General features: G+C 39.1%; 2 protein-coding genes across 8 annotated transcripts in view, besides 1 other annotated feature; both read right to left on the reverse strand.

Annotated features, from left to right (window-relative positions):
- LYPLA1-TCEA1 (LYPLA1-TCEA1 readthrough) overlaps positions 1-19,486 on the reverse strand; it is a 135,392-nt gene that overhangs the window by 31,620 nt on the left and 84,286 nt on the right. For all 4 annotated transcript variants that reach the window (NM_001425841.1, NM_001425839.1, NM_001425842.1 and 1 more), the window contains 2 exons: positions 12,255-12,317; positions 1,770-1,875 (listed from right to left, as the gene is read on the reverse strand). In NM_001425841.1, coding sequence (NP_001412770.1) covers positions 1,770-1,875; positions 12,255-12,275 — 127 coding nt within the window. In that variant the 5' untranslated portion in view covers positions 12,276-12,317. The remainder of the gene's footprint in view (positions 1-1,769; positions 1,876-12,254; positions 12,318-19,486) is intronic.
- Positions 1-19,486, reverse strand: part of TCEA1 (transcription elongation factor A1) — a 55,893-nt gene that overhangs the window by 31,620 nt on the left and 4,787 nt on the right. The window contains exons 2-4 of one of the 4 annotated variants that reach the window (NR_109901.2): positions 12,255-12,317; positions 4,717-4,917; positions 1,770-1,875 (exon numbers count right to left, since the gene is read on the reverse strand). Coding sequence is in view for 2 of the 4 variants with exons in the window: in NM_006756.4 (NP_006747.1) it covers positions 1,770-1,875; positions 12,255-12,317 (169 nt within the window). In the remaining 2 variants the exon portion in view is untranslated. The remainder of the gene's footprint in view (positions 1-1,769; positions 1,876-4,716; positions 4,918-12,254; positions 12,318-19,486) is intronic. The other 3 variants (NM_006756.4, NR_109902.2, NM_201437.3) reach the window with 3 other exon arrangements.
- Positions 14,287-14,386: a silencer, noted in NCBI's record as "silent region_19197". NCBI's record gives its function as "represses an Ori minimal core promoter by ATAC-STARR-seq in GM12878 lymphoblastoid cells {active_cell/tissue: GM12878}" and the evidence as "EXISTENCE:reporter gene assay evidence [ECO:0000049][PMID:35858748]".

Here is a 19,486-nt window from a genome sequence, read left to right on the forward strand (position 1 = left end):
TACATGCCCCCACACATACACTAGCGCCAGTAAAAACTGATGAAATCTGAATAAGGTCTGTAGACTGTATCACTGTCAATTTCCTGGTTGAGATTCTGTATATGAGAGTTATGTGATATTGCCATAGGAGGAAGCTGGATAAAGGGTACATGAGACCTTTCTGTACTTTTTTTTTGTGGTAATTTTCTGTGAGTCACTTATTATGTCAAAATAAAAAGTTAAACTCCACATATTCAGGAGGCATACATACTTTCTTCTATAGGAAATGACCTTGTTTCTTTTAGCCCTACTTGAGGCAGGGGACCAGGAATGAGGGGGAAGGGACAGGATATATACACACACACACATAAAATTTTAAAGCATGGCCCACAACAGTAATTTTTTTTATTGGGTTTGTGCAATTAATGTGAAAGACAAAATTGCGTTTAATTTTCTTTCCTTCCAAATTTGACTTTCAGGAAATATATCAACAAAAAATTGACAGCCCCAAAATAAAATTTAAGGTGAGGGAATTCATATTTGTTGGGCTAGGACCCTATGTACATTTCCTACACAGGTGATAATTGATAGTGAAAGATCACAGACCAAAAACAAAGAAAAAGTAAAATCATGAACCTAAGTAAACAGGTTGGTCTTCAAATGAGAAAGGAACATTTCTGCCTTGGGGGGAAAACAAAGGAGAAGGGATACCTGTATTCTTCAAAATGTCAATTTCATAAAAGATAAAGAAAAGCTTAAGAATGATTTCAAATTAGAAAACTAGCTATGTGAGGCCAGGCGAGGTGGCTCACGCCTGTAATCCCAGCACTTTGGGAGGCCAAGGCGGGCAGATCACAAGGTCAGGTGATCGAGACCACCCTGGCTAACACGGTGAAACCTCGTCTCTACTAAAAATACAAAAAATTAGCTGGGCGTGGTGGCGGCCACCTGTAGTCCCAGCTACTCGGGAGGCTGAGGCAGAATGGCATGAACCCAGGAGGCGGAGCTTGCAGTGAGCCGAGATTGCACCACTGCACTCCAGCCTGGGCAACAGAGTGAGACTCAGTCTCAAAAAAAAAAAAAAAAAAAAAAGAAAGAAAACTAGCTATGTGATCCTGAAGTGGATCTTTTCCTGAAGGTAGAAAAACAAAAGAACTATAAAAAAACATTATTGGGACAACTGACAAACCTGAACATAAACCATAAAATACTATACCAATGTTAAATTTCCTATATTTCTTATACTATGATTCCATAAAAAAATAAGATTGTAGTAAGGAAATACACGCAAGTATTTAAAGGGTAAAAGAGCATGATATATTCAACCTACTTTCAAATGGTTCCGAAAAAAATAATTTGTGTGTGTGCAAATAGAGAAAGAAAAAGAGAGAATATGATAAAACAAATATGGCAAATATTAAAAATTGATGATATGGATAAAGGATACGGCATTCTTTTAATCATCCTTGCAAGTTTTCTGTAAGTCAAAAAATTTCAAAAACCATTTCAAAAGGTATCCACAACCTTTCCTTTAAGAGAAAATTCTTCTTACTGAAAGAGTTTATCCAGTTGTGTCAAAAGTTAAGAAAGCCAAATTTGACTGGCCTAAAAGGCAAAAAAACCCTAAAGATCAAATTAACTCCCCTCGCCTTTATTACGAGGCACTGCTTTCAGTATATCTAGATTCACTAAGAAAAAAATGTAACCATTAACTAACCATAAAATGTAACCATTAACTATTTGAATAAATCACAACATCATAAATATATGTAAGGGAAGATCAATGATACCTAATAATTTTTTCCAGGATTTGATGAGAGACTTTGCCAAAGATGTAACTTCCTCATCTGTACTCTGCTTGCGAATAGCATTAACTGACATTCCGATTCTTGTGGACTGCAAGGCAATAACAAAAAAATTATGTATACCAATTTTATTTTAAACAAATTAGTATTTCACCTACATTCTTTTCTTTCCCAGATTCCTGTTTCTATTTTAGAATTTCAAAACTTCAATTTTTGGATCCTTATAATAGCAAATTATATTAAGATACATACATCTTCAGATCAAACACTAGACTCATTAATGTTCTTATCATCAAGATCTAGAAGCATAAAATTCACTACTGTAATAAGTCTGGTTAACTAGAAAAATGCAATCAATCTTTCCACAAGGGAGAAGTGAAGATAAACGAGGATAAAATATATAATGTTGTATATAAGTCAGGCTGAAGCAATCATGACTAATACATGCATTTCTTTGTTTCTATACATTCCTCTACATGGATTACTTCATAGAGCACCAGCTGCAAATTATTATGAGGATATCCAAACAAAAACTACCACCTATCCAGGTTTAAAAGGCTTTATTTTGCCAGGAACCAGCATATAATCAGAGACATTAAAATGCACTTCACAAAATACAGGTAAAATTTAACCTGTGATAATTACGTGCCTAGAATTATGCTTAGAGCATCCACATTCATCAATCTTTCTAACAACCCTTCAAAGTTGAGATCATCCCTATTTTTAAAGATGAAGAGATTGGAAGTACCAATAAATAACGTGCCCAGCATCACACCATTACCAACCAGCAAAGCTGGGATTTTTTTTTTTTTTTTTTGAGACGGACTCTCACTCTGTCACCCAGGCTGGAGTGCAGTGGGGCACGATATTGGCTCACTGCAACCTCCACCTCCTGGTTCAAGCAATTCTCCTGCCTCAGCCTCCCGAGTAGCTGGGATTACAGGCACATGCCACCTCGCCCGGCTGATTTGTGTATTTTTAGTAGAGACGGACTGCACCACGTTGGCCAGGCTGGTCTCAAACTCTAGACCTCAGGTGATCCACACACCTCAGCCTCCAAAGTGCTGGGATTACAAGCATGAGCCACCGGCCCAGCCAAAAACTGGGATTTTAATCCAGGTTTGTTCACTGCCGAAGTCCATGGTCTTTGTAGCACATTAATGGTTTCAAATTGTGCTCAAAGAACACAAAAGCTATGACAGCCCAAATATGGATGATAAATAAAAAATGGTATATTATTTAGTAAGTTCGGGTTGTTAACAGACAATATTTCAAACATATGGTCTATGGAAGAAAAAAATAACAAAAGGAATTCTTAGTGGTGAAAAAAAAGAGACACCCTATTGTAAGCTTTACGGTAGAAAAATATACGGGTACTTGAGGTTTCCTTCTAAATTATTCAATCCTCTCAACAAACAGATTCAGGATCTAAGTTTTATTCAAGAATTTAGAATATGTGGTTGGCTAGAGTGTCCTATATCTCTTAGAAAGCTGAGCAAAACAGACAAGATTGAACAGCAGAAAGATAAAGGGACTCCACAATTTTAAAGCCCCAAACAATTTGGGGTTAACAAGGCTAGTTTACTAGGAAAAAAACTCCACTTTTTGAATGTGTAGAGGAAATAACTTATTAGTGTGGTTCTGAAGCTTAGAACTGACACAAACGTGCAAAAAAATAAAATGGCACTTTACTAGGGGCTTGCAGGAGAGCAAAGGTGTAAGGAGATGATGAATTGTGTACTGCTGGGTGATTGCTTTTTAATTATCAGAGGATGTTTTGATTACTAAAAAGTCAATGATTATCCCGCTTAGCCTCAAACAAAACCTATACTGAGAATATAGTTATCTTGTAATAAACATGCTTATCTATGGAAGAGATTGTCAAGCCAAAATAATAAGAAATGAGGGGCACGGTGGCTCACACCTGTAATCCCAGCACTTTGGGAGGCTGAGGCGGGCGGCTCACGAAGTCAGGAGTTTGAGACCAGCCTGGCCAATATAGTAAAACTGTCTCTACTAAAAAAAAAAAACAAAAAACAAACAAACAAACAAAAAACAAATTAGCTGGGCGTGGTGGCAAGCGCCTGTAGTCCCAGCTACTCGGGAGGCTGAGACAGAAGAATCACTTGAACCCAGAAGGCAGAAGTTGCAGCGAGCCACGATCACACCACTGCGCTCCAGCTTCCAGCCTGGGCGACAGAGCAAGACTGTCTCCAAAAAGAAAAAAAAAGGGCGGGTATGGTGGCTCACGCCTGTAATCCCAGCACTCTGGGAGGCCGAGGTGGGTGGATCACGAGGTCGGGAGATTAAGACCATCCTGGCTGACACGGTGAAACCCCATCTTTAAAAAGTACAAAAAATTAGCTGGGCATGGTGGCACGCACCTGTAGTCCCAGCTACTTGGGAGACTAAGGCAGGAGAATTGCTTGAACCCGGGAGGTAGAGGTTGCAGTGAGCCGAGATTGCACCACTGCACTCCAGCCTGGGTAACAGAACAAGACTCCGTCTCAAAAAAAAAAAGAAAAAAAAGAAATGAAGCTGCTGAGGTAGAATGAAAAACAAAGATTTGAAATAAGTTTTTCTTTTTTCCTTTGGGGGTACCATGGAAAAAATGAAAAAAAAAAAAAGTAGAGGAAAAGATTATGAAGCTATTTACTTGGATAAGCAAGTCTGAAGTTGACTCTATGAATTCCCTAGAGATTTTTCCTAAAATTGGTATGCTAAGACTTACAAGATGTAATAGATAGGTTATACGAAAGTATTCTGTGCTCAAGTGACCTTAGGAATTGTGGGATTATAACTGTTTTCTTGACTGCAGGACTAATGAAAGCTTTCAGGACAAACTATACATCGTGAAACTCTAGCAGATAAAATATGTGCCTTTGCCTATGATTTCTATAGAACATCAGGTATACAGAAAGAAAGACATTACCTTGGAAAGGTGGAGAGTGCATTAAGCAGCCTTAGGGGTCAGCTGCACACTGATGGAAAAGCAGAAAGGAATGAGTACTGAGATCAAGAGACACTGTTAACATCACAGGAAACAAGCAGATTTGGTGTGCTCCAGAAGAAAAGTCTCCTTTGTGATCACTCATGAGTTTTTGCCAAGATGATCTCAAGGTAGCCACTAAATCTTAAGGTAAAAAACATATAGCTACTGTACAGCTACTATAAAACACATATGTAAAACATACATTTAAAACACACATATATAAAAGAAACACACAGCTACTATAAAACATTTTTGAAAGAAATTAAAGATGACCCAAACAAAATTTTTAAATCTCATGTCGATAGACCGGAAGACTTAAATGTTAAGACTGCAATACTAATCAAGTCGAACTACTGACTCAATGCAATGCCTATCAGAATCCCATCTGCCTTTAGTGTAGAAATTGACAAGCGTACCCTAAAGTCCATACAGAAATGCAAAGGACCCAAAACAGCCAAAACAATCTTGAAAAAGAAGAACAAAGTTGGAGCACTCACAATTCCCTATAGTAACCAAGATAGCATAGTACTGGCAAAAGGATGGACGCGCAGATCAATGGGATAAATTTAAGACTCCAGAAATAAATTCCTACATTTTTCATCAACTGATTTTAGATAAGGATATCAAGACAATTCATTGGAGAAAAGAATATTCTTTTTAACAAATGGTGCTGGAACAACTAGACATCCACATGTAAAAGAATAAACCTGAACCTCTTCCTTATACCACACATAAAAATTAACTCAATATGAACAGGAGTAAAGCTTCATGACCTTGGATTAGGGAATGGTTTCTTGGATATGACACCTAAGGCGCAAGCAATCAAAGAAAAAATAGAATATATCAAAATTTAAAACTTTTGTGCTTCAATGAACACCATCGAGAAAGCAAAAAGATAATTCACAGAAAAAGAGACAATATTTGCAAACTCTATGTCTGATAAGCGACTTGTATTTGGAATATATAAAGAACTATTACAACTCGATTAAAAAAAAAAAGACAATCCAATTTAAAAACGGGCAAAGGATCTGGATAGACATTTCTCCGAATAAGATATAAAAATAACCAACAAGCACATGAAAAGATATTCAACATCCTTAGACATTATGGAAATAAAAATTAAAGCTACAATGAAATACCACTACACCCACTACAATAGCTATAATCAAAAACAAACAACAACAAGTGTTTGCAAGGATGCAGAGAAACTGGACCCCTCGTTTACTGCTACTAGGGATATAAAATGGTATGGTGGCTGGAGAAAAGAGTCTGGCAGGTCCTCAAAATGTTAAACACACAGTTACCACATAAACCAGCAATACCATTCCCAGGTATCTACACAAGAACAACAAAAACATATGCTCACACAAACTTGTATATAAACACGCATAGCAGTGTGATACATAACAGCCAAAAAAGTCTAAACGCATCACCTGACAAATGGATAAACAACATGTGAAATATCCATGCAACTGAATATTATTCAGCCATAAAAAGGCCTGAAAATTCTGACATAAACTGCAACATGGATGAATCCTGAAAACATTAAGCTAAGTGACAGAAGCCAGACATCAAAGGTCAGATACTGTATGATTCCATTTATATGAAAACTCCAGAACAGGCAAACCTATAGAGACAGAAAGATTAGTGGTTGCCTAGGCTGGAAGGAGGAAGACCAGTTGGGGGGAACGGAGAATGACTTTTTGGGGTGATGAAAATGTTCTAAAGTTAATTGTGGTGATAGTACCAGAACATACTAAAAAACAATGAATCATACACTTTAAATGAATGAACTGTATGGTATGTGAATTATATCTCAATAATACTGTTTAAAAAAAAAAAAGAAACATACAGCTACGTTTACTATCCTTTTAATAAGTTCCAAGACAGCAGGGACCTTGTCTTGTCTGCCACTATATTCAGCATGTGGAATAATATCTAGCACATAGCAGACACTTAATCATGATTGAATAAATTAATCTACTATATATAAAAACTTACAAAACTAGCCGAATCTATTACTAGCCCAAATATTTGTCTTCCTGTTTACTTCCTCACCTTCAACCCAATACCCACCTTCTACTCTCTCACTCTGCTCAGTTTCCTGCACTCCTAATTGTAAACTCCCAAGGACTCTTCAGATCTCATTTGATTTAATCAGTCTGTTATATCCCAACTCTGTTTTCCCTTTTTCCTAGGGGATCTAACCCACCTCTATGCTATTACTTCCCAAATATTTCCTAAACCTGTCCTTTCTCTTATATTCTAGAGCTGTTTACATATATGGCTATTTAAAATTTGTTAAAATTAAATGAAATTTAGAATTCCGTTCCTTAGTCATATTTCAAGTGCTCAATAGCCTCATGTAGTTAAGCACTACCATATCAGTCAACACTCACATCAGAAACATTTCCATCACTGCAAAGTCATACTTGACAGCACTGCTAGGGAGGACATACTCAACTACCTACCAGATACCTGCATATACTTGTTTCATAGGCATCTCAAAATCCAGTGTATCCAAATTATCCTTTATCTCTTCACCCCTCCATTTTTATTTTCTTCTCATCCCAAGCTCACCTTCATACTACCTTTCTTGAATATTCTTATATTGCTAAATGGCACCATCTACCCAGTTGCCATGGCAAAAATCTCAGTCATCCTAAATTCCTCCACTCCTTCACCTCCATCCAAACAACTACCAATCCTTATAGGCTGTCTTTCATTAACAAATTCCCCTTCTCTCCATTTATATTGCTATTATCTTAGTTTAAGCCCTCATCACTCCTCACCTGAATAACTTCATTAGTCAACAGGTCTTTCAGGCTCCAGCTTCCCATTTCCTCCAATGTGCAAATCTGGTCACATACTCCCCTGCCTAACACCTTTCAGTAGTAATGCTCTCAGCATCACATATGAAGCCCTGCGTGCCACACCACCTATGTCTTTAAAATCCTGTATGCAACTAGCTCTTCCCATGTCTTTAACCCCATATGCAACTAGCTCTCCTTTATTTTCACTTCTAAATGCCACACTGCTTCCACATACTGTTTTCTCTGCTGAAATATCTTTCCCTGTCTATCTGCTGAGGGAGAACCTAGTCATCTTCTGAGATGTAGTTTCAGCTTTATCACCTACATAACAGCATTCTGCACCTCCCAGATTATGTACTTAGATTGACAAGTAAACTTCTTCGTTCTTCTTCCTACCCTCCTTCTTTCCCCCAGATGAACACTGTATGGACTTTTCTTTGGGTACCTACATCTTTGTTTATATGTCAGTTTTCCTCTACTAGAATTTAAGTTCAATGAGGAGGGAAAGGCCTTATCTTATTCATCTTTATAAACCCAGCACAATTCTTAATCATAGTAAAAACTCTTAGCCGGGTGTGGTGATACACGCCTGTAATCCCAGCTACTCAGGAGGCTGAGGCAGGAGAATCGCTTGAACCCGGGAGGTGGAGGTTGCAGTGAGCCGAGATCGTGCCATTGCACTCCAGCCTGGGCAACAAGAGTGAAACTCCATCTCAAAGAAAAAAAAAACCTCGAATGTTTGTTATATAAATACACAGGCTTTCCAAAGAAGGAAGCACAGGAAAAAATTAGAGATGCTCATAAATATTAACCCTATCCAACCTCCATACTCTCTCTAACTCTACACGTGCCTGTTAAATAAATAATGGGATTACTATGTTGTTTTCCCCACACAGGTCTGTCGGGATAAAGTTATGCCTTGGTAAGGAACTATCTCAAAGGAAAGTTTATTCTTAGAGTTGACTTGCAAGAGAAGTTGCTGATCATTAGACAGAAACCTGAACTCAGAAGGTAGGACTTCATGACTTACTTCCTTTCTCTTACTTTCTCTTTCTGGGGTCTAGAGATAGAGGAGTTCTTTTTTGTTTTTTGATACAGAGTCTTGCTCTGTTGCCCAGGCTGGGGTGCAGTGGCGCAATCTTGACTCACTGCAACCTCCGCCTCCTGGGTTCAAGTGGTTCTCCTGCCTCAGCCTCCCGAGTAGCTGGGATTATTACAGGCACATGCCACCATGCCCAGCTAATTTTTTTGTATTTTTAATAGAGACGGGGTTTCACCATGTTGGCCAGTTGGTCTCAAACTCCTGAGCTCAAGTGATCCACCCACCTCCAGCTTCCAAAGTGCTGGAATTACAGGCATGAGCCACCTGGTCGGCCTAGAGGAGGAGTTCTTAACCCTTTTTTTGCACCATGGATCCTTCTAGCAGTCTGGTGAAGCTTATGGAGCCCTTCTCAGAATCCGTTAAAAATGGATTAAATAAAATACATAGGATTATGAAGCAAACCAATTATATAATATAAAATTACAAAATATTTTTAAATGTAAGATAGTAATGTTCATGCTCCCCAATTTGTGTGTGTGTATTTTTTTCTTTTTTATCAAGACAGAGTCTTGCTATGTTGCCCAGGCTGGTCTTGAACTGCTGGGCTCAAGCAATCCTCTAGCCTCGATCTCCCAAGGTGTTGGGATTACAGGCACGAGCCACTGTGCCAAGCCCTTCCTTATTAAAACATTAAGACCTAGCATAAGGTAGAACAGCAACAATAATGAGCAATTTCAATACTTTTACAATGTAAGTAAACTGAAGTTAAAACATTTGTGAATTATTTTAGTTTTAGTCGTAAATACTGGTAATACAACTGTGGTTTAGTGTTTTCACAACTGAAAGAAATATTCAATTTCAGTTAGCCATTAATGAAAATAAACGTGACTTTTTTTCTCAATCATGTTCACACACCCCCACCACCTTTCCCTAAATTCTGAATTAATATAATAGAAATATCAAAGAAAGCACTTGTGGATAATAAAAAACATCAACCAGAAAATAACGATATTCATGTTATTGGCTATATTAAGTTTCCTTTTTAACACTTTGACTTTTATCAAAGTTTTATTTTTATATTTCATTCTTGATGGAACATTAAAATACACTCATGCCTGTAATCCCAGCACTTCAGGAGGCCAAGGATGGTGGATCACCCGAGGTCAGGAGTTTGAGACCAGCCTGGCCAACATGGTGAAACCCCGTCTCTACTAAAAATACAAAAATTAGCTGGGCATGGCGGCAGGCGCCCGTAATCCCAGCTACTGGGGAGGCTAAGGCAAGAGAATTGCTTGAATCCAGAAGGCTGAGGTCGCACGTCGTACCACTGCACTCCATCCTGGGCCACAGAGTGAAACTGTGTCTCAAAAAAAAAAAAAAAAAAAAAAAAGCTTCTGCACAGCAAAGGAAACAACAGGGTAAAGAGACAATCTGCTGAACAGGAGAAAATATTTGCAAACTATTCATGTGAAAAGGGACTCATATTAACAATAAATAAGGAAGTCAAACAATTCAACAACAACAACAACAACAACAACCAGGAAACAAATAATCTCATTAAAAAGTAGGCAAAATGCTGGCTGCAGTGGCTCATGCCTGCAATCCCAGCACTTTGGGAGACCAAGGCTGGAGTTCAAGACCAGCCTGGGCAACAAAGGGAGAACCCCGTCTCTAAAAAAAAAAATTTTTTTAATTAGCCAAGCATGGTAGCATGCTCCTGTAGTCCCCAGTTACTTGGGGGTAAGGGACGGGAGGGGCTGAGGTGGGAGGATCACTTCAGCCCAGGAGGTGGAGGCTGCAGTCAGCCAATGATCATGTCATTGCACTACAACCTGGGCAACAGAGACCTTATCTTAAAAAAAAAAAAAAACAGTGGGCAAAGAACATGAATAGATATTTCTCAAAACAAGACATACGAGTGGTCAACAGGTATAAGAAAAAATGTTCAACATCACTAATCATTGGAGAAATGCAAATAAAAACCACCATGAGATACCATCTTCCTCCAGTCAGAATGGCTATTATTTTATTTTTATTTATTTATTTATTTTTTTTTTTTTTGAGACAGAGTCTCACTTTGCGGCTTGGGATGAAGTGCAGTGGCGCAATCTCAGCTCACTGCAACCTCCACTTCCTGGGTTCAACTGATTCTCGTGCCTCAGCCTCCTAAATAGCTGGGACTACAGGTATGCACCACCACACCTGGCTAATTTTTGTATTTTTAGTAGTGACGGTGTTTTACCATGTTGGCCAGGCTGGTCTTGAACTCCTAGCCTCAGGTGATCCACCCGCCTCAGCCTCCCAAAGTGCTGGGATTACAGGCATGAGCGCCTGGCCCGGATGGCTACTATTAAAAAGACAAAAAAAAAAAACAGATGCTGGTGAAGGTGCAGAAAAAAGGGAACTCATACACTGTTAATGGGAATGTAAATTAGCACAGCCACTGTATAAAACAGTATGGAGATTTCTCAAGAACTAAAAATTGAAGTACCATATGATCCAGCAATCCCACTACCAAATATTTATCCAAAGGAAATCAGTTTAACAAAGGGGTATCTGCACCCCTCATGTTTACTGCAGCACTATTCACAATAGCCAAGATATGGAATCAACCTAAGTGCCCATCAATGAATAACTGGATAAAGAAAATTTAATGTATATACACAATGAAATACCATCAGTTATAAAAAAGAATGAAATCATGTATTTGCAGAAACACGGATGGAACTGAAGTTATGTTAACTGAAATAAGCCAGGCAGAGAAAGACAAATACCACGTTCTCACTCCTATGTGAGAGCTAAAACAGTGAGCCTCACAAAGATAGAAAGCAGAGTGATGGATACCAGAGACTGGGAAGGGTGCGTAAGTGAGGCAAGGGAATGAAGACAGGTTTGTTCATGGGTACGAACATATAGTTAGATAGAAGGAATAAGTTCTAAGGTTCCACAGCAGAGTAGGGTCACTATAGTTAATAAAACATTATATATTTCAAAATAGCGAGAAGAGAGGGCTTGAAATGCTCCCAACACAGAGAAATGATAAATACTGAAGGTGAGGGATACCCTAAATAACCTGACTTCATCATTATACATTCTATGCATGTAACCAAATATTACATATACCCCCTTAAACATCTATAAATATTATCAATAAAGAATAAGACTTCAGTAATGAATCTGTGTAATGTCTACTAGACATCAACTGTGTACATGCTTGACTGGTGCTAAAAAAAAAAGAAAAAAAAAGGGAGAGGAGCGACACCTTGCCATCCTCACCCTGAAGCTAGCTTCATGCTGGCAGCAGCTATCAATAATAGATCAAGAAAGGGAAATCTTAGGAGACCAAATCAGGGCCAAGAATCCAACTTCCTCTCACAGTGAGATTTCACTGCTACTGCCAACTTTAGAGATTCAGGTTTTATTCTCCTTAAGAAAGGCGACATTGCTCTATAATGGCAACTTAGTAGATTATTGATTTATATTGCCATCTTTAAAAAAAAATAGCAGTTAGTAATGGTTTACACCATTATCAAGAGACTACAAAAACATATTGGTACTGAAGATGTTTTGGTATTTTATGACGACTACCTATTAAAAAAACTTTGATGCATAAAAGCACATACCTGCAGTAATTCCAGGGTCATAGGAATATTCTTAAGCTCCTTTAGCAAATCCAATGCTCCAGCCTATAAAATAAAATAATTTCATATTGAATTCCCAAGATGGTAAAACAGGGACTAGCCAGAAATAAGGTTCATGGGAGAATCACAGAAAACAGCTAAAGAGGAATAAAATCAGATAAGGAGCAACAGCACCACCTATAGCTTACAGCCAAATATTACAATTTGATATTAATTTAATTTAATCATTTCATCTAATTGAATATATTCACATTCTATTTCATTTAGTCTAATGTTTACTTAATGTACTATATCTGGATAAATCATTTCTTTGTATACCATCAATAAAGAAAAAACGATTAAGCTATGATACAGTGTTTTATTATAACTTTTTTTTTTTTTAAGACAGAGTCTCACTCTGTTGCCCAGGTTGGAGTGCAGTGGTGTGATCTCGGCTCACTGCAACCTTTGCCTCCCCTCCTGGGTTCAAGCGATTCTCCTGCCTCAGCCTCCTGAGTAGGTGAGATTACAGGCACACACCACCACGCTGGGCTAATTTTTGTATTTTTAGTAGAGATGGGGGCCAAGCTGGTCTCAAACTTCTGATCTCAGGTGATCTGCCTGCCTTGGCCTCCCAAAGTGCTGGGATTACAGGCGTGAGCCACCATGCCTGGCATTATAACTTCTTTCTACTTTTGCTTATTGAAAGAATTATTTTAGAGTTGAAGTTTTTACCACGTCACCTTTTACATATGTAAAAACATACATATAAGTAAAACAAAATTGGCTGTTACTAAAAGTACTTCACATTCAGAACTTTTTGACTCAGATTCAACAGTATCTGTTTTTACCCCACAAAGAGCTGTTTAAGAACACAAGTGACAAAGCATTTCATAGAAGAATCCACAAAAAAGCTAATGCCGTGAGCTCTAGGGCTGGCTTTGTAGTAGTGTGCACAGCTGCTTTTCACCTCCAATGCTCTTCACAGTCATTTGGTTCCTCAGGATTCAAAGAGAAAGAAATCCTCTCTCAGATTTCCTTCCAAGCCAATGACACTCATTCCACAAGTTCTGATGCTAGGTTTAGCATTCTGCCTGTGAAAGAACATTACAATGGCCATCTGGCCAATGATATGTGTACCTATCCTGCTTTCTAAAATGTTTAAGTATGAAAACAGGCACCCTACAAATCAATGAAATACACGCTATCCCCCCAAAAAAACAGAAAGAACCACAGCACGTCCCTCATTCAACACGCCAAAGGAAAAAGCGAGCAAAGACTCTCATAGTATCACTTTATTTCTTAGATATAAAATCAAGTAAAGGCTTCTAGTCATGTAATTTTTCATTTAAAGGTGACAGACATTAGGCTTGGCCTTCCAGAATAAAACCATTAGCTTTTATTCTGGTAACAAAGAGTTACATCATTTCAATTCAACCCAATACCTCATAAATAAAAATTTAAGTTCAACAGAAATTATGACACGTTATTATAAGTAATGTTTAATTATTTGCTGTTTAAAGATCTCTCCTAATCTTAAAATTCTATAAATTCTTCCTATTTAGTCATCTAGAAACAGTAAAACATTAAAGTTGTTGGAAAAGAAATCTAACACTGACTTAAAACGTATTATTAAACAAGCATTTCTACAGGTATGACATTGTTGTGAGTAAATGAAGTCTTCGATCCCTTATCTGCAAATTTCCAGACCAAAAACCTTTGAAAAGCAAAAGATTTCTAGATTTCTCATAGGTAAACTCATTTGGCAGCTAAACCTAACCACAACACATGTAAAGCTATTTGTGCTCTATGCCACGTAATGTGACTATTACAACTGACTACAGAAATGTTAAGGCCGGGCGCAGTGGCTCACACCTGTAATCCCAACACTTTGGGAGGCCGAGGTGGATGGATCACGAGGTCAGGAGTTCAAGACCACCCTAACCAAGATAGTGAAACCCTGTCTCTACTAAAAATACAAAAATTAGCTGGGCGTGGTGGCGGGTGCCTGTAATCCCAGCTACTCAGGAGACTGAGGCAGAGAGCTGCTTGAACCCAGGAAGTGGAGGTTGCAGTGAGCCGAGATCGCGCCACTGCACTCCAGCCTGGGCGACAGAGCGAGACTCCGTCTCAAAAAAACAAAAAACAAAACAAAAAAAAGAAATGTTAATGTCTGGTTGCTGAAGTGCCCAAATCCTGCTGGGGGTATTATGTAATATATGATGTATATACCAAATTATCTTTATCAAATCTGAAAAATCTGGAATTACCAAATATATCAGACCCTAAGGGTTTTGATTAACAAACTCTAGAAGTCTGGACAACACAGCATGACCCCCTCTCTACAAAAAATAAAGATAAAAAATTAGCTGGCCATAGTGCCTGTAGTCCTAGCTACTCCAGAAGCTGAGGCGGGAGGACTGCTCGAGCCCAGAAGCTTGAGATTACATGAACCATGATCGTGCCACGGCAGTCTAGCCTGTGTGGACAGAGTGAGACTCCATTTCTAAAATAAAAATTAAAAAACGACGACGACAAAAAAAAAAAAAAAAAAAAAAGATTGTGGGCCTGTATTCTCCATTTACCATTGACATTTTTCTTCTATCCACATTTCCAGGATTTCTGATCCACTTCTGACCAAGAATCTCTTAATAAGGGTAAAGAATCACACTTCTAGAAGTTCCTTAAAAAGCAGGGTTTCCTAAGTATTAAGTTGATTCTTCCAACATATCAGCAATGAGACATACAGTTTAAATTGTTTTCCAAGTAGAGGCAATATATTTGCATTAATTTTGTTACTTTCCTTTTCTACTCAGCTCTCTGGTGAGGCCATGGTTGGAATAAAAAGCTAAAAGTAACACTCACGGAATAAAACTATGACCTTTCTGAAAACTGCACTGTGTTCCAACTAATTCAAATAAATATTTCACTGAAGGGTCTTTAAGAAATAACTATGGGCTGGGCACGGTGGCTTATGCATGTGGCTCACACCTGTAATCCTAGCACTTTGGGAGACCGAGGTGGGAGGATCAACCTGAGCTCAGGAGTTCGAGACCAGCCTGGCCAACATGGTGAAACTCCATCTCTACTAAAAATACAAAAATTAGCGGGGCGTGGTGGCGGGCACCTGTAATCCCACAGCTACTCAGGAGGCTGAGGCAGGAGAATCACTTGAACCCAGGAGGCGGAGGTTGCAGTGAGCCGAGATCGTGCCACTGCACTCCAACCTGGACGATAGAGCAAAACTCCATCTCAAAAAAAAAAAAAAAAAAAAAACAAAAAACAGACAAACAAAAAGAAATAACTATGATGATCTGAATGAGTGAAATGCAAAACAGATAATCATACATTAATTCGGTGACAACAAACTTTGAGTGCTGCTATGTGCTTGGCATTGTTAAATACTTCACATAGATTTAATTCCACCTTCACCATAAACCCTATAGAAGCAGGTATTATCTCCATTTTACAGATGAGGAAATATGTCAAGAAACTTGCACAAGGTTCTATGATTACTAACTAGAAAAGGTAAGATCTACTCCAGTAATGTCAAATGTACCAAGCTCTACTGTACTGGGGATACAGCAGTGAGCAAGACTGAAACCCTTTCTGACATCAGGGAATTTTAAAACAAACAGAAATCTTTAATCATCTATTTCAAACCCTTAACTACACACAAAAAAAAGAAACTTAAACCCAGAAAAGAAAAGTGACTTGCCCAAGGTCATACTGACGGGTAGTAAGGTCATGAACTAGTCGCCTGACCCTTATACTGCTGCCCTTTCCCCAGCAGTGCGCCAGTGGCAGCACTCCTTTGTGAATTCAGATGACTAGTATCACCAAACAAGAAGCTGTATTTTAGCCTTCCCCAAGCATCACCTAGCTCTAAATGTCAAGCCTAGGCCAGGCACAATGGCTCAGCCTGTAATCCCAGCACTCTGGGAGGCCTAAGGCAGGAGGATCACTTGAGCCCAGGGGTTCGAGACCAGCCTGGATAACAGAATGAGATCCCACCTCTATTTAAAAAAAAAGAAAAGAAAAGAATACATGTCCAAGTCTATGAGATTGTAGCATCTCCTACAGATGATGCAAGAGAAAGAAAGACTCTTCTTTAATTTCCAGAGCCAAATTTAGTTCACACTACTGGCTGAAAGATAAACTACAGCTATCACACTATTTTATTACATTGTTGGTGCTCCTATCTGGTAATAGAAAACAAGTGATTTTATAAACCATGATACTTGTACTATGTGCTCAGTATACTCAAGACCATGTAGGATACGAACATCCCTCTCCTCAAGGAGATGTAAAAAGGAGGGAGTAATAGGGATTTATAGTTAAGAATATGGTGTACATATATGACAGATTTAGATTCAAATCCATGCTCTGACATTTGCTAACTACAAGATCTGGGTAATGTTATTTGTCCTTTTCAAGCTTCAGCTTCTTTATACGTAGGTGAGCATAACACACCAACCTTGAGTAGTTAAAACAGCCAAATGAGGCAACATTACACAGATAAAGTATCAAAATAGAGGGTCTGACACATAGCATGGTTGATGAGGAGTACAAAAATATACAAATAATTACTTATTTCTACCATAACAATAATCTCCAGGGGCCATAAGCCAGCATTTTCAGTGATCATATTTAAGCTCAATCAAGTAAAACAGTTACTTCTTCTATAATAATGTCTTCTTCATAGGCATTATTATAAGATTTCAAGGTTAAAGAATTAAGATATTATCCATTTTTTTTTTTTTGAGACAGTCTCACTGTGTCGCCCAGGCTGGAGTGCAGTGGCGTGATCTCAGTTCGCTGCAACCTCTACCTCCTGGGTTCAAGCGATTATCCTGCCTCAGCCTCCCAAGCAGCTGGGACTACAGGCGCCCACCACCACGCCCAACTAATTTTTGTATTTTCAGTAGAGATGGGGTTTCACTATGTTAGCCAGGCTGGTCTTGAACTCCTGACCTCGTGATCTGCCCACCTCAGCCTCCCAAAGTGCTGGGATTACAGGTGTGACCCACCATGCCTGGCCCATTATCTATTTTCTTAAACAATGAATTATAGATATTTGAGTTGTAGCTCAATAACATCACTATAAAGCTAGGACTTATGATATTACTATGTCATCTCAAATTTGCAGTTAAACTACACCAAAAGCACAAGCAACAAAAGAAAAATATATATAAATTCATCTTCATCAAAATTAGAATATTTTATACTTCAAAGGCCACAACCAAGAGCAGACAGACAACCCACAGAATGGGAGACAGTATCAGCATATCTAACAAGGTTCTAGTATTCAGAATATAAAGAACTCTTACAACTCAATAATAAAAAGACAACCCAATTTAAAAATGGACTAATCCAATTTGTACTCCAGCCTGGGCAACATAGCCAGACCCTGACTCTTTTCTAAAAAATGGGCAAAGGATCTGAATAGACATTTATTTCTCCATAGAAGATATGCAAATGGCCACAAAGCAATGAAAAGATGCTCAACATTGTTAATCACAAGGGACATGCAAATCAAACCCACAATGAAATACCACTTTACACCCACTAGGAAGGCTATAATCAAGACAAATGATATTGGTGAAAATGAGGTGAAACTGGAATCCTCACACACTGCTAGTTGGAATGTAAAATGGTGCAGCCACACTGGAAAGGTCTGGCAGTTCCTCAAAAGGTTAAACATAGTTACTATATGACCCAGTAATTATTCTCCGAGGTATACACCCAACAGAAATGAAAACATATGTCGCCAGGCGCGGTGGCTCACGCCTGTAATCCCGGCACTTTAGGAGGCCGAGGCGGGCAGATCATGAAGTCAGGAGATCGAGACCATCCTGGCTAATACAGTGAAACCCAGTCTCTACTAAAAATACAATAGCCGGGCATGGTGCTGGGTGCCTGTAGCCCCAGCTACTCGGGAGGCTGAGGCAGGAGAATGGTGGGAACCCGGGAGGCGGAGCTTACAGTGAGCCATCACACCACTGCACTCCAGCCGGGGTGACAGAGCGAGACACTTGTACAGCAATGTTTTTAACAGTATTATTCACAACAGCCAAAAAGCTGAAACAGCCCAAATGTCCACCAAATGATGAATGAATAAGCAAATCGTGGTTGGGTGCAGTGGCTCACATCTGTAATCCCAGCACTTTGGGAGGCTGAAGCGGGTAGATCACCTGAGATCAGGAGTTCTAGACCAGCTTGGCCGACATGGTGAAACCCTGTCTCTACTAAAAATACAAAAATCAGGCCAGGCGGTGTGGCTCACGCGTGGAAATCCCAGCACTTTGGGAGGCCAAGACAGGCGGATTATGAGGTCAGGAGTTTGAGACCGGCCTGGCCAATATGGTGAAACCCCATCTCTACTAAAAATACAAAAATTAGCCGGGTGTGGTGGTGCGCGCCTATAGTCCCAGCTACTCGGGAGGCTGAGACAGGAGAACTGCTTGAACCTGGGAGGCGGAGGTTGCAGTGAGCCGAGATCGCGCCACTGCACTCCAGCCTGAGCGACAGAGCAAGATGAGACTCCGTCTCAAAAAAAAAAAAAAAAAAAAAAGACTATACTAAGCAAAAGAGGCCAGTTACAAAAGACCACATACTGTATAATTTCACTGACAGAAAATTTCCAGATTTGGCAAACACACAGACAGAAAGTATATTAGTGGCTGTCAGAGGCGTGTGAGAAATTGGTGGGGGCAAATGAGGGCTGAATGAGGAGTGACTGCTTAATAGGTACAGGGTTTCTTTTTGGAGTGATGAAAATGTTCTAAAATTATACAGTAGTAATAGTTGCACAAACCCGTAAATACACTAAAAGCCACTGAATTAACAGTTGACCCTCAAATAACATGGGTTTAAACTGCACAGATTCACCTGAGAATTTTCTTTCACCTCTGCAACCCTAGATGACAAAACCAACTCTTCCTTTCTCCTCAGCTTATTCAATGTGAAGACAAAGAGGATGAAGACCTTTACGACGACACATTTCCACTTCATGAACAGTAAACATATTTTCTCTCCTTTATTTCTTTTCTTTTCTTTTTTGAGACATTGTCTCGCTCTGTCACCCAGGCTAAGTGCCTATAATCCCAACATTTTGGGAGGCCAAGGCAGGCAGATCACTTGAGTTCAGGAGTTCTAGATCAGCCTGGGCAATATGGTGAAACCCCATCTCTATAAAAAATACCCAAAAAAGGCTGGGCTCAGTGGCTCACGCC

The sequence above is a fragment of the Homo sapiens genome, chromosome 8 (assembly GCF_000001405.40).
Source record: "Homo sapiens chromosome 8, GRCh38.p14 Primary Assembly".
Taxonomy (NCBI): Eukaryota; Metazoa; Chordata; class Mammalia; order Primates; family Hominidae; genus Homo; species Homo sapiens.